This window comes from Homo sapiens, chromosome 7 (genome assembly GCF_000001405.40).
Source record: "Homo sapiens chromosome 7, GRCh38.p14 Primary Assembly".
Taxonomy (NCBI): Eukaryota; Metazoa; Chordata; class Mammalia; order Primates; family Hominidae; genus Homo; species Homo sapiens.
In genome coordinates, this window is record NC_000007.14 from 88,188,598 (window position 1) to 88,204,421 (window position 15,824).

Sequence of the window (15,824 nt, forward strand, 5' to 3'; positions counted from 1 at the left end):
AAGATTTGAAATTCAATACAGAATTTCTGTGGTGGTGGTAAATAATTGAGATGGCCCAGAACGTTTAACACAGTGATTCTAATGCAAGGGAGAATTTCATCCACCCTCTGTGCAAGCCAAGCCTCACATAGGAGACCCAAAGTGCATCCACACCTTGGCTTGTGCCTTGCCAACCCTATGCTTAGGCTCAGATCTGCTTCATCTGTGGCCAGGTCATTCAGGATTACCCTTCCTGTCAAAACCACCACTGAGGGCAAAGGTCACCTTATTGTTTTTTGTAGAGACGGGATCTCACCATGTTGCTCAAGCTGGTCTCAAACTCCTGGGCTCAAGCAATCCACCTGCCTCAGCCTCCCAGAGTGCTGGGATTACACCCCTGTGGTGTTGGCTTTGCGGCATCCTTATCAAAATGCAATCTGCAGCAAACTGGTTCAAAATATAGTCCAGCATTTAAAATATAGTGGCCACACTGCTAGAGAGAGCAAGGCAAATGCCTAAATAGATATCAAGTGATCAGAGTGCCTCTGCTGTGCCCCCTTATCCAGTTTCGATATGATGGTGGTTGCTCAGGTTGTCCTCTGCATGAATTCAGGCCACCAGGAAGGAGCAAGTGAGATCAGGACAAGAGCATTATCTCGCCACACCCAGATCCTGGATGCAGTTCTGTTATAAGCTCTCAGAAGGTAGCCTTACTCTCGGGTATTATCCCATTGATTACTCACTTCATCAGGGTTTTCGAGTCCACTTCCATGATTCTATGGAATTTTTGGTGACTCTGAAAAGAAACGAATAATTACAACTATCATGTATCCAGTGCCTATGATATACCTTTATTCCTCACATCCTAGAGTGTAAGCATTCTTATTACCTTTCTGTAGATGGAGGAAACTGAGGTAGAAAGAGTAATTCAAGGTGGCACAGCTAGTAAGTGTCAGAACCAGAACTAGAGCCTGACTCTGAATCCAAAATCTGTACCTTTTCCATTTCACCTTAATTAAAAGTAGCAGAGTGGATACTGATGACTTGAATCCTCTCTTAGTACACTTAACAAATTCTCCTGGATCTAGGCCAGGCGCAGTGGCTCACGCCTGTAATCCCAGCACTTTGGGAGGCCAAGGTGGGCAGATCATGAGGTCAGGAGATTAAGACCATCCTGGCCAACATGGTGAAACCCCATCTCTACTAAAAATACAAAAATTAGCTGGGTATGGTGGTGTGCGCTTGTAATCCCAGCTACTTGGGAGGCTGAGGCGGGAGAATCGCTTGAACCTGGGAGGCGGAGGTTGTAGTGAGCCGAGATCACACCACTGTACTCCAGCCTGGCGACAGAGTGAGACTCTGTCTCAAAAAAATAAATAAAAATAAAATAACAAATTCTCCTGGATCAACCTACTATAAAACTCACATATGAACACAAGTGAATAAGAGGTGGACTTGTGTCCCTCTCCATGTGACTGGCCTGGTTTTTAGCCTGTCCTTGGGTGCAGAACTGAACTGAGGTTGGCCTTACAGGCATATATACAGAAGGTAATCCCAGGAAGTTTGATGTAGCCCCAAGAGGCACCACAATCCATTGGCACACAAACATACCTTTATTGTGTAATTCTAATAGGGTATCCATTATGGTAATTATAGTTTTTAAAAATACAGTAATGGGCTGGGTGGGGTGCCTCATGCCTATAATTCCAGCACTTTGGGAGGCCGAGATGGGTGGATCATTTGAGGTCAGGAGTTTGAGACCAGCCTGGCCATCATGGTGAGACCCTGTCTCTCCTGAAAATAGAAAAATTAGCCGGGGGTGGTGGCGCATTCCTATAGTCCCAGCTACTCGGGAGGCTGAGGCAGGAGAATCGCTTGAACCCAGGAGGCAGAGGCTGTGGTGAGCTGAGATCACACCAAATGCACTTCAGACTGGGTGACAGAGTGAGACTCCATCTCAAAAAATAAAATAAAATAAAATGCAGTAATAATAATGGTTGACTTGTATCCAATGATGCACTTCACTTTTTAAGTGAATGAGCTGGGCTGGTGCCTGGCTTTAAGTGAAAGCCAGGCTGGAACTGCCGGGCAAGTAGTCAATAAAGGTCAGAAAAGAGCCTGGAGATCGTTTTGAAGAAACGTTTTCCTTAGACATTTGTGAGAAATTTTGAGTTTATTTTCCCTAAAGTGTTTTACCGTACCGTGTTCTCTACTCCTATTTTGACTCCTGCTCTGGTGCTCTCCATCTTCCCAAAATAATCACTTTTATGCTGTCACATACCACCCAGCCTCCAGGACCCTTTCCCCTGCTAAAACCTTCCTGCTGGGCTTCTCTTCCCCTCAGGGTCCAAGATGTCAATTAACAAGAGTGTTATTATTCTTTACTTCTATTTTGACTCCTGCTCTGGTGCTCTCATCCCCCCAAGATAATCAATTTTATACCAGCCTCCAGGACCCTTTCCCCTGCTAAAACTTTCCTGCTCAGCTTCTCTTCTTCCCCTCAAGGTCCAAGGTGTCAATTAACTAGTGTAACTAGCGTGTTATTTTAAGAAGTAGTATATGTGCAATTTCTTTGGGGTTCTGGAGAAAATCTCCTGTTTTTGTTCTAACTTAATTGGCTTTGCCCATAGAAAGATATTTGAGGGGAAGACTGGACCTTCAGCACCCCTCATTGGAATGGCTTTGTCCATGTATCAGGCTGGCCATTTGGACCCATGGCCAAGTTAAAGCTGGAATGACTGTGAAGCTAAAAGCTAATAGCTAATGGTGTGGACACACATGCTGCAGCAGATTAAAAAGATGCCTTGTTTTGCATGATCCCCTAAAGTAAACAAGATTTAATTATTTGTTTGTGTACCTTACTAGCTTTCCTAAAGTTGGATATTTTATCAGTAGTGATTAGGCTAAAAAGCTGACGCCAGGTTAATAGTCCTCATTTTAGAAAGATGCATTTAAATATCTAAATGCAGAAGTTTGCCATTATCTTACATGTACCAAATTTGTTTCTTAAAGATCATAGTCCTATTTAAAGTGTTTTTCTAAAATAAAATAATTTCTTAATTAAAAAAATATGAAGTACATTGCTTTAATAGAACTTTAGAGAATTTGAAGTACTAGTATTAGTTACACCCATCCGCTCGGCAATGAAGAGCATTAACATAGGAGAAATCAAACAGCTGCTGTGTTCTAAATGTTCATGCAAAGGAGTGGTCCTAGCCATTTTTCAAAAATAGGAGTTACAGATTAAAAGTGAATTGTACCATTCTTCATTCTTAAAATCTATCAAGAATGTTCACTACTACTATCTTAGGGTGTGTGGGAAAAATTATTTTCAAACTTTAGCTTGAATTCAGTGTCCATAAAATGGAAATTAGTATGAAAACTATGGCAGAACCAGAGCAAAGGATATTATACGCATGCAAACCAAAATTTAAAACAAGGAAGGAAAAAAGACACCTTTATGCTATTGAATGCAGTGTAGGCAGTAGATCTTGACCTACCTAGTGCTACCCCCGCCCCTCCCACTAACATTCCCAGGCTGGATCAGTCACAGCAGATGAGGTACATTCTACTGAAATAAACACTTTTGCTATAAGGTGGCAGTGTAACCAGTTCAATGTGGGTTTTTACCACCTTGCACCATGGATTAAGGAGCAGTGGATGTGTAGTGGTAACGTTTGTGAATGGAATAGCTACTACAGTTATCACATCTGTTTTTCATTGATATCTTATGAGCAGACATTTTTTACTCAGCTGTTTTCTTTTTTCACTTTAAAGACAAATTAGCAATAGATAGGGGCTTGTCTAGTATGTTCAGCTTAGTCACAAATTACCACTACACATGCAAAATCAATCAAGTACAGCATAATACAGCAGCAGCTTACATAGAAATGCTGATTGTAGGGACTAATTAGACCATTTTTGTATGTTCTCATCAGACTTTGTTTGGCTGGAACTCTGCACTCCTTACTGCTTGCATGTTTACTAATTTATTAAAAGCCCTGTATTTGCCTTTGTTCCTTCACAACTAACACACTGGCCTCTGAATGCATGAGTGTTGTGTAAACTGGTGTGTGATTTAGCAACTAATAAATATATCAGTTGTAATGGATTTTAAGATCTTAAGAGAAAATTGGAATTATCGTACTTAAACATTTTTACATTAAGTGGTTAAAAATAAGGCACAATATTAATATTTTATACACATAATTTACCATTATAAGCTCTTAGAATAATTTCATCCCTTCTGCATTTTAGCTTTTTATCTATTCTATAGGATACATTTTTAGTGGCTTGTAGTTGAAAAGTATCATTCTATGTTCTAACATTTAAATAATCCATTGCAGTCATGAAATTAGGAAGATAAAATTGCAGCATTTCACTGTTGAGAATGACAGAATATCTTCCCAGTAGTTAAATCTTTGCAGTAGTGGTATATGAAAGTTAGAAGTCAGAGGGTTTGTTCTGAACACACTTTTCAGATATTTGAAAAATGTTAGGCAATCACATGATACTTAATTCATGTTCTCAACATCTCAGGACTTTATCTCCTGCCAAGTCTCCTTCTTCATCAACTGGGTCTATTGCCTCCAGCAGAAAATACCCTTACCCAATGCCTCCACTTCCTGATGAGGACAAGAAAGTGAACCGACAAAGTGCCAGGGTATGTGGAAACCTCTTCCATGTGCGTACATGCTCAGTCATTATCATTTATCTATGAGTTTATATTTTAAAAGAGAGAACCATTTTTCCTCCCTTGTTCCTAAGAAAATGAAAAAATCAAACTTGAAAATAAGGAGATTCTTGAGACTTTTGGCTTCAGATTTATATTTGCAAATAGTTTAATCTGCATTGATACAGTCTAGGTACATTTTGTGTAATTAATTGCTATATATTTAATTATTGTAGCTAATTTATTAAAACCTACAGTAAACAAAACAGTGTATTTTGCTATATCACCTTTTACATTTTAATCACACTGCCACTGTCTCACAACATTCCTGAAACATATCAGTATGTGAAATTCGAGATACAGTGGAGCTTAGAGAGGCAGACTGGTCCTCAGAGACTTAAGTGAAAGATGTAACCAAAGAATAATTACCTTTATTGATGTCCAGGCTCTGTTGTGGTCATTTACACTGTAATGTTCATCTTCTTAGAAATAATGTTGCAAAAAAATAAAATAAAGCTTATAAGCCTCGGCAGCTTTAGCTGCTGGTTAGACTCTTTGGTCTTCAGAGATGTTTCGGAATCTCTTTGATCCCAAACCTAAATTATGTGATTCAAGGTAAACGTGGATCATTCAAATTTTAATTTTAACTCAGAGTCAGTAAGAAGGCACAAATAATTAAAAGCTGTGTAGATCACTATAATCCAAAAGTCTTTAAAAACTACCAGCAGTGTTTTGTTAATCATAAAAAATTACCATTATATGTTAATATGAGAAATGGTAAAAGATAACAAGACAATTCAGATTCCCAGCACTCAGCTTTCTGAATTAACAAAAGACTTCTTGATAGATACCTAGTTGTTCATGATGTCATGTGTGATAATGAAATCTGAGACTGAGGTCATTCCTGCCCTCCTCAAATAATTGTCTAAGTGTAGCAACCCACTTTCTGCTAAATTGTCTGCATCCCTGTTTTGTTCCATCAAGTTAGGGACATTCCCTCAGCTGTTGTCATGTCAGAGTTTGGGTTATTGGAGATGTTACCACACAAGAGCCTGTAAAAATGATAGCTCCCTAGAAAAAATGACTGGCCCTGGGCTGAGCAGGTGACCACAAAGGCTCTGGCTGCTGGGATTGTTACCTGAAAAGTCTGATTTGTTCTATGCACTGTGGAACAGCCACATAAGCATGTGGCAGAATCCTACCAAATACACAGCCCCTGTCTCTGGGCTGTCTCTGTGGGCTGTGGAGAGTGGAACAAGCAGATCTTCCTATCAGCAGCCCCTCTGTTACCACCACATAGACGTGGGCCAAGGCATGCCTAGTGCTGAAAGTGATGTTTGGCAATTGCTCATTTTTTCTCACTGGAGTAATCATGACATTCAGGTTTTTCCCAATGTTGTTCATTTGTCCCTCCCTTCTTTCTCCTGTCACATATTATTTTTAATCTTTATAAAACAATATTGAGGAAACTTCAGCTCTCTGAGGCCAGAGTCTAATCCCTTTAGCCCTCCAGACCATTATCTGAGCATCAGTTCAGATCGTCTTTGCTCCAGACCCACCACAAGCCCCATTTAACTCCTCTCCACCACCAGTGTCACCCATTCACGAAGATCCTCACAGTTCAGATATTCCTGTGGTTTACAAGGGGTTGGTGTCTTTTCAATAAAAAGGGCATATAAAATGACCTAAGGTAGATAGCATGGTGGCTTTACCACAGTCCTGTGGAGTAGGCAGACATGGGCATTCAGAACAAGATTTCCATGAAGATTTGGGAGAACATATTAAGGGAACCTATATAGAAACATCTACTTACTCACTTGGCTTTTTCTCCTTTTTCTTTCCCAGAAACTCATTATATATACAGCGACATGCACCAAATGTCCAGTAAAAATGGAATTTGGATGGAATTGGATACAACCTAAGTCACTGTGTTCATAGGCTTTATTTGTTTATGTTTATAATAATTATATCTAAATTCTATTGCCTGGAAACATATTTCATCAGCTTGATCTTCTTTTTAAATTGGTCTTCCTTTTCTGGTGAACTGAGTTGCATTCATATCTGATCATGTCACACTTGTTATTAGTCCATTAAGGTGATTGCTGAACATTGTAGAAATTTGACCGGAACAGGGCCAATATAAAGAGCTCATGGCAAAAGCAAGGAGAGGGTAAGAGGGACAGAATGAATGAAGGGACATCCTGCCTTGAATGTATCCTTCCACTGTGATACCTCAGCTTGTGAGAGAGAACCTTTTATTTATTTTATTTTATTTTATTTTATTTGAGATGGAGTCTCGCTCAGTCGCCCAGGCTATAGTGCAATGTCGCGATCTCGGCTCACTGCAAGCTCCGCCTCCCGGGTTCACGCCATTCTCCTGCCTCAGCCTCCCGAGTAGCTGGGACTACAGGTGCCCGCCACCACGCCCGGCTAATTTTTTTTGTATTTTTAGTAAAGACGGGGTTTCACCGTGTTATGCAGGATGGTCTCGATCTCCTGACCTCGTGATCTGCCCATCTCGGCCTCCCAAAGTGCTGGGATTACAGGCGTGAGCCACCACGCCCGGCTGAGAGAACTATTTTTTAAGGAGGTAGTGATAGAAGTGGAGTGTATGGCAGTGATTTTCAAGTGGGTGATGGTGGAATTGATGGAATCACACTTCCCTGATGTCAGTGGTTTTCTGTCGTGGCTGCACAAGGGAATCATCTGCAAAGCTTTTAAAATATTCTTACGCCTGAGTCCCACCCAGAGAGATTTTGATTTAGTTGGTCTGGTGTGGTGCCTGGGAAGTGGAATTGTAGAAACCTCCCCAGATTAATGTAATGTGCAGCTGAGGTTGAGAACCACTGCTCTAGCTGGCTGTCTCAGAATCCTGGGGAAAGGAAGGGCATGTGTAGCTTAAAAAATAATATTTTAAATTCTTTTATTTCATTTGAGACACAATATTGACTCTATTCAAAATGTTTAGTAACATTAAATGAGGATGTGATGGTTTTTGTATCAAAAGATGGCTGCTGTTAAAAAGGTTGAGACACAGGTTTTGAGGAAACAGAGAGCTAAAAGTTGGAGTGTTTATTCTATCCACTTTTTAGACTTTGCAAGAGTGTGCATCCACAATCACATATATATGGATGGAATCACTGAATCTTTTTCATCTCCTATTCAGAATACATCTGCTTCCTGCTTTCACAATGTGCAATTTTGCTCTTTTCTGTTGTGCAGCTATGGGAGACATCCATTTAAGATCAACTGTTTACATGTGATACATCGAAAACTGTTTACTTCAACTTTTATAGAAACCCAGGCTCATGGAATCACTGCAAATCTATCTGCTCTTCAGACAATACGAAGACCCTCTGAGATGCTACAGAGGAGAGGAAGCGGAGTTTCACATCTGGTTACCATTTTCTTTTTGTCATTGGCTTAGGATTTAACTAACCATGAAAAGAACTACTGAAATATTACACTATAACATGGAACAATAAAGGTACTGGTATGTTAATGGATAATCCGCATGACAGATAATATGTAGAAATATTCATAAAGTTAACTCACATGACCCAAATGTAGCAAGTTTCCTAAGGTACAATAGTGGATTCAGAACTTGACGTTCTGAGGCACATCCTCACTGTAAACAGTAATGCTATATGCATGAAGCTTCTGTTTATTGTTTTCCATATTTAAGGAAACAACATCCCATAATAGAAATGAGCATGCAGGGCTAAGGCATATAGGATTTTTCTGCAGGACTTTAAAGCTTTGAAAGGCCAATATCCCATAGGCTAACTTTAAACATGTATTTTTATTTTTGTTTTGTTTTTTACTTTTCATATTTATATTAGCATACAAGGACAATTGTATATATGTAACATTTTTAAAATTTTAAAAAAATGCAGCTGTTACACACAAGTGTATTTTGCCAAATGCCTAAAAATTCCGTCACAATCACATCATCGTCATCCATCCAGTGATCTTCAAAGACTATAAGCAGGTAATGTAAATATAGTGGTCAATGCTGTAAATGTGTCTCTCCATAATTCGTATTTGTCCAAAACATGTGATATCCCTTTAACCTGTGCACAGTCTGGAGGCAGTTTTATTGAGTGAGTAGTTGAGTGAGAGAACAAAATGCCCAGCAAAACTTCTGGCCTCCACAGTTTGCTGATGCAGGAGCCCACTCTGCTGCCGATGGGCTGCTCCCTGGAAATCATCTATCCCATCCGTCCATCCCATCTCATCCCAGTGAGCCAGCCCCTCAGCAGTGTGTGCTGCTGAGATTAAGCAAGTGCACCAAAGACACATGAGACAACGTACTGCCAGTGAGCTGGTAGCTTCTGGTTTGCCAATACTCTAACCCTTTGTGGCCTGAAGTTTTGTTCCTTGGCAAAACTTTGTAGTCACCCTTATCTGTGAAATGAATGACTTGTTTTAACAAAAACAACTTTGACACTGTTGATTAAGAATATTTGTCATCACTGGGATGTGAATCCCAACAAGTCATTCTGCACTGACTCTGAAGCAAGATGACGGAAGATTCTACTGTTTGAGTTGAGCAGCTTCAACCATTCATAAAGGGTTAAGTTAGATCTAAACCACAGAGATGCAGCATCTGCGAAGTTACACTAACAGCTGGTGGGGGAAAGAATCTGATGCTTTGAAACATATATTTTTAATCCATAGGAAAATAAGATTCTATTTTAAAAGACCCTTCTTTAAAACCAAAGTTTGATAGCTGTTATAATGGCAGATCTGTCATTCCAAAAGAAAGCTAGCTACCCTAGTGAGGCTGGAGATTGATGGGCTCAATCACATGGTCTGCTCTGAAGTATACTTCTGATTTCCTCATTTGCTGTGTGTTCTTAAGAGGAATGGAATCTGCAGACAGGTTTTCAGATATACTCTCTTAAATTTGATCCTCTCCCATAGTATCCATGGACAAAATCCATATCATCTTCATATGTAATCAATTTGATTACATATCATGCCCAAACTGAAGGGCCGAGTTAGAAGGCAGCATTTTATACTGTGTGTTTATGTCTTCTGTAATGGACCTCTCTTTTGAAAGTCTTTGAAATGTTTGGAAAGCAATTTAATGATCCAAAATTACATAATGTAAAACAGCATTTTTCATGACAGGAAGGGATGTGATTGTTGATATGACCATAAAGCGATCCATCAGGCCAAGGTTTGGGTGAGTGTTGGGCAGTGTTGCCACATAGCTCAAGCCAAGAACAGAAGGGCAGACAGATTGAAAGATGTAGCAAATAAAGTGACTTTTTACCAAGATCACTGTAACGTGCACTGAATGTTTCCTGGTACTGAGTGTACAAAAGGCTAATGCTATAAGGTTTATTTTGACTATAAAAGAGTTTATAGATTTGAATATAAGGTGCCTCATGTAAATATGCTTCCTAGTTACAGGTACACAAACTCTAATTTGAAAGAATCCACAAATGGCTAGCTGAGAAGTTAACAGATCTCTATCATTCGTCTGTGTGTCTTTCTTCCCTCACCTATTTTTACATGAAATTATTATTTCAAATGAAAATCATGATCATGTGCCTTTTGGGAGACATGGTTTCTCTAGAGGTATATAGTTTGTAATTACCCGCCTTGGTAATAACCTTCCTGTGGAACTGACTAAAAATTTTTGTTTTATTTGTAGAGATTATGATTTGAGGTATACAGTAACTTTAATGTTCTATTCTTGGAATCTACTCTATCTCCCATGTTTAAACATTCTTAGAGCCATTTGTGGGATTCATTGACAAATTTATAGTCTCAAGGGAGAGTTTCAAGAAGTATCTATATGTATACTCATGGTTGGGGTTCTAGAGGCATTACATCTAAATATTTATGACTTTTCATCCACCGAGGTAGGTAGCATTAAATATACAAGCACAGCATTATTTCTCTTTAAATATCTATTTTGGAGAGAAACTTTGAGGCCGTATCACAGTTTATATCATGCAACTAATATTTATATTTCCCAATCCACTACAAAATCATTGCTAAGCAGAAGAGAGCAGTTATTTGGCCTTTATGTTCCATTGTATGCCTTTTTCCCCTCTTCCAGTTTTATGCATTGATAAGACTACAGATTGGCACCCTGCTGCCTGAGAAGTTCCATTTATCCATAGTCATTGCAGTGCAGTAAACCCTGATTTAAAGGAACATTTAAGTCTCTCCAGTAAGTGTGAACAGGAAGGCATGGGATAGAAGAGAGTCCTTATGGAGTGGACTGGCCACATGAACTGTCCTCCAGCCACTCTTTATTTAGATGGGAAGTGGCATGGTCCTCTGAACGCTGCAGGCTGGAAATGATCCCCAGGGCACATGCAATCTGTGGAAAGGAATACATCGGACAGTGCAACATGGTGAGGGCTTTCAATTTGCTGTGGTTGCTGTATTTTTAACAAGACACCCGGAGCTTCGATTAGGAATAACCTATCATTAGAGTTGTTCCTTTAAAAAATGTTGATGAATAAAGCAAATGTGGGTTTAAAATGCCAACTTATTTTTCACTTTGATATTGGTGCTTTATTAAGTGATACCATAGTTTCTCTCTCTTTTCCCTGTTACTTTAAAAAGAATTTTAAAATTGTGTTTGTATATAAGGTCAGTCTGGCATAGAATTTCTGAAAGTAACATTAATAGGATTTCTAAAGAAGTTGTCAGAAAGACAAAATTGGATATTCTCTGCACTTTCAGAGAAGGACTATTTATGTTTGAATTTCATAACAGGCTTACATTTCTTTTCTATTGATTCCCTTGCATATCTACATAATTTAATCCTGTCTATTGTCCCAGATCTCTTGTGGCTACTTTACCTGTTACCTTTTTTGGGATTTTGTTCTTTATGTTTTACAGTTACCTTCGGACCAGAAGATATATGGTATTTTTATTCACTTTTTTCAGTGTTTTAAAATAAGGTTTGTTCATTTATTCATTTTATCCATTCATTTCCTATTGTCGTATAGTTCTAACCATATATATAGTACTTTAAATATTTTCTTATGTTATTATTTAACACAATAATAAATTCTTATCTAAAGAAAAGATTATTTTACTTTATTTTACTTAAAGGAAAGAGAATTTATTGGCAGGATATTGAGTAGCTTGTAGAGTATATGGAAGGGGAGAGCCAAGTTAGGAACTGGCAGGAGCGAGGAGGGACAAGACAGCTGCCTGCACAGTCTGATAGGACACATCTGGCTGCTGCCACTGGATGCCCACATGGGCAGCGTGTTGTAAATATCACCCTACCAGTTGGTAAGTTGGCATGAATTTTCCATGAAACACTTGACTGCCATTTGCAGCATCATATCTACTTTTTATGCACCTAATTATATTTTTCCTTTCACTTTTATGTTTTTTTCTAAAACTGCCACCTAAATACCTTTCCACTCCGTTAAATGTATGGAGTCAAGATAAATTTCTCATTCTTGCTCTACAGTTTAAGATGTATAAGAAGTAAACACTTCCGTGGAATAGGGCTTAATTTGGGGCTCAAATGTTTTGTTTTCCTCCTGAGATGTTTTTGAATGGATAAGACTACTCTGGTTTTGGATGCAGCAACTTTTCTCCTGGCATGGAAGAACTAAGGACTTTGATAAACAGTTTCCCATTGATAGTATAATATAATGAGGGGCCCAGTCTGCTCTTGTGAAAATTGGCTGAGCGGCAGCAGCCCATCCCAGCTGTGTGTGAGTAGCCCCGCTGTTAAAAGTACACCTGCTGGGAATTGTTGGCACATGCTCATAGCATATGCTCTGTGGGGGAGGTGCTTTTAATTCCAAGAGGAGCTTTTCTCCCACATCTGCGGATGCAGAACAAAGATGCAGCAGGACTTTAGAAAACAGGAGTGTTTCTACTGACATTTTATTCATTGCTTTGTTAGTCCCGCAAATGGAGCAACTTCTGGTTGTTTGTAAGCAGAAAAACAAAACATTCAAAACCAAAAACCTAATTAGTACTTTTGTCCTTTATATCCCTAGGATGCTCTAGGGAGTAGAGGTGGCAGGCATCTTTATCTTCACCCACTGGCACATTAGCAGCTTATGCAACTTAGGAAGTCACTGGGAGATGAGTCCTAAAAGCCTGAATTTCAGGATGGGGAGGAGATAAGAAGCAGAGAACTTTGGGAGACCATGGGGCATTTAGTCCTGGCATAGACACAGAATGGATATTCACAGGAAGATTCCTGAGGCCAGATATGCAGGAGAGCACACATTGTCACAAGGGGTGTGGTGGGAAGAGAGGTGCTGGATGCCTAAGACAGACTTCTGTGCTTGGCAGATTGACTGAGTGTTGACTCTGAATACTTTGTGGTCCAGTCCATAATAGGCCAGTCACTCCTGCCTGATGCATCCCTGTTGCACTGTTCATAAAACCTGTATCATATGGGGAAGCTTCAAGGCTGGCAGGCTTTTCATCAAGTAATCATCATTCCATGTTCCTACGTATCCTTGAAATCAAAACCAGGCAATATGTGTGTTTTTGGTTTTGTTTTACAAAAAGGCATACAATGAGACGAATTCTTAAGATAATGCACATACAGAATCATCAATAAAGTTTCAAAGAGTTTATGAAGAAAAGGTATTTTCCTTTCTTGTAAAAAATGTTATATATATATAATATTCTGATCTGCATTCACCTTAGGGCTTAGCCTCTTATTTTATGAATTTTCAGGCTGTGATTTGTGTTGGATGGCTAAGCTCTAAAATAATGCAAATAGCCCCAATCTTTAAATATAGCGGTGCTAAGTTGAACAAGTAACACAATACAGAAAATGCTGATATGAATACTTAGTAATAATACAAAAGTTCCTGCTAAATTATATATGTGTATCACTGCCTGACTAGAAACCCCACTTTTCTTTTCTAATCCAGCACAAAATCAAACTCTGATTCTACAACCAGTCTTTTTAAAGGGCAAAAATGACTCAACACCTTTGTTTTGTATGGAAAACTTTTTTTTTTACACTAACTGCAAAACTGCTTTAAAAAAAGGCTTATTCAGGATAGATAAGCATGTACTCCTTTTTTAACTTGCTGGAAGACTTGCCCCTCCAAACTAGCACCCCCAAAAGACAACTTCTTTCAGAAACGGGGTGTTTTACCTAAACATAGTAGCTTACATGTTAGCCAGCAGTAGGTCGGCACTAGTGTTTTCCACGGTTATCACCTTTGACAGGTGATGTGCATCTATAGATAGTGGAAGCCACCCCATGAGGAGGTGTTAATAGCAGCATGGTTTCACTTTTGGTAATCAGGTAATCATGTGTATATACTTAGATTCGCATTATTTTAACATTTCTCTGCTACTCTGCACTTCAGGTTCGTTAAGCTATTTTAATAATTACTGGGGTTATGGCAAACACCAATGGAAATGTATATGGCAACTGCTTTCCTGAGCAAGTGTGATTTGTTTTATGGCTGTTCAAGTTATAAAATTGTTCTTACATTGTAGGTAAACAAAATCTTGATGTTTTTAAAGGTCACTGTAACTTAAGGTTCAAATTTCTGGCACAGTTTTATTAGTATTCACTTCGGAAGCTAATAAGATACCATGGTTTTCTATGTTACTCCCATTGTAACATTAGTAAAGTGACTTTCAATAAAAGATTTATGTTATTTTGATGCACGACTCTTCTTTTTCTCCCAGCTAGTTTCTCTTTCAGAAGCTTTGTTAGGGGTACAGTCAAGGGATTGTTTCTTTCCTGTTCACTGGTGTCCCAGAAGGGGTCACTAACATGATGAGAAATACAACCCTTTAGCAAAGCCTGAGTGCTCGATTTGTTGCAGTTTCCTCATCTGGATGGCAGAGGTAGTTTACTTATTTATCTATTTGCCTCTCCTTGTAAGCACTTCCTCTCTCACCCTAATGAGGATCAATTTCCTATATCCTGTCCTGTAGACCAGGCAGTGGTGCTTAGTTAATAAGGTCACCTGTGCTGCATTCTAAAGCACTGAGCCTAGGATGGGCTCATGAGTTCATTGCCTAAAAACTGTTCCACCCTGGCTTTTTCATCTTCCAGGCAGGCATTTTACCTACCCGTCATTATTCTGGCATTTGCGGGGTCCTTGCCATCTGTTCATAGGCTGCATAGTTAATAAGTTATAAGTAGTCAAGGTATTGTTTTAATGTGAGAAAAAGAGAAGGAAGTCACTGATGAAGGGTTTGTACATTTAGTATGAGATTTTAAAAGTTTATGGTGATTACACATAGCTCCATTTCTTGCATTTATAATATTTTAGTCATATAATAAGTCATTTAGATGAACACTGAAACAGTAACTCGGCTGAGCCAAAGCAAAGTCTAGTTCACAGATGGCAGCCAGCTCGTGGACTTGATGGTACCACCTGGAACATCATGCTGAAGGACAGTCTAAACTCCAGTTTGGCTCAGTAGAAGCAAGAGCTTTAATTTAATATGACTGCTGTGGTGCAAATCTACGCCAACTATCCCCAGGAAGCACCAGGTCTCTAGCAGCCACATTCCTATGGAAGTAAGTGCACGAAATGTGTTAAAAGTACTTCATAAATCATGGATCTCTTGAAACACATGAGTAAAGCACACATCTCCAAAATAAAATTAAATCCTAATGAGGGTGATTTGAGGAGCTTAATTCTCCAAATAGTTGAAGTATTCAAGCTTGAGCTCACAGCTTTACCATGCTCCAACTAGATTCTTTAAGAAAAAGTAAACAGACCAGGAAATAATTTTAAAGTAGTGGGTGAGGCTACACTAGAAGTATACAATGAATTAAACACAACCCAACATAAAATAGAAATAAGGCAACAGGAGATTTCACTTGTAATGAAGACTGGCTGTAATTAAAGGAGATGAATACATCAAATTTGTCAACGGGAAGGAAACTTTTTCTAACTGCAGGGACATACTGAAAACTATGCTCCATGCTTTTGGAAAGAATGGGTGAAAGCAGAAGGGGAGGAGATTAAGAGATTCGTTTTGAGGTATCAATAATTAAAACGGAATTAACTGAATGATGTCTAATATGGTTTGGCTCTGTGTCCCCACCCAAATCTCATCTCGAATTGTAATCCCCATGTGTCCAGGGAGGGACCTGTAAGCCTTACATCGAGGGAGGGAAGGGATTGGATCATGGGGGCGGTTTCCCCCATGATGTTCTTGTGATAGTGAGTTCTCA

General features: G+C 39.2%; 1 protein-coding gene across 30 annotated transcripts in view; it reads left to right on the top strand.

Annotated features, from left to right (window-relative positions):
* Positions 1-14,292, top strand: part of ADAM22 (ADAM metallopeptidase domain 22) — a 268,639-nt gene extending 254,347 nt beyond the window's left edge. For 27 of the 30 annotated variants that reach the window (XM_017012330.3, NM_001391975.1, XM_017012335.3 and 24 more), the window contains 2 exons: positions 4,519-4,642; positions 7,874-14,292. In XM_017012330.3, the coding sequence (XP_016867819.1) occupies positions 4,519-4,642; positions 7,874-7,894 (145 nt within the window). In that variant the 3' untranslated portion in view covers positions 7,895-14,292. The remainder of the gene's footprint in view (positions 1-4,518; positions 4,643-7,873) is intronic. The other 3 variants (XM_017012333.3, NM_001324421.2, XM_006716029.5) reach the window with 1 other exon arrangement.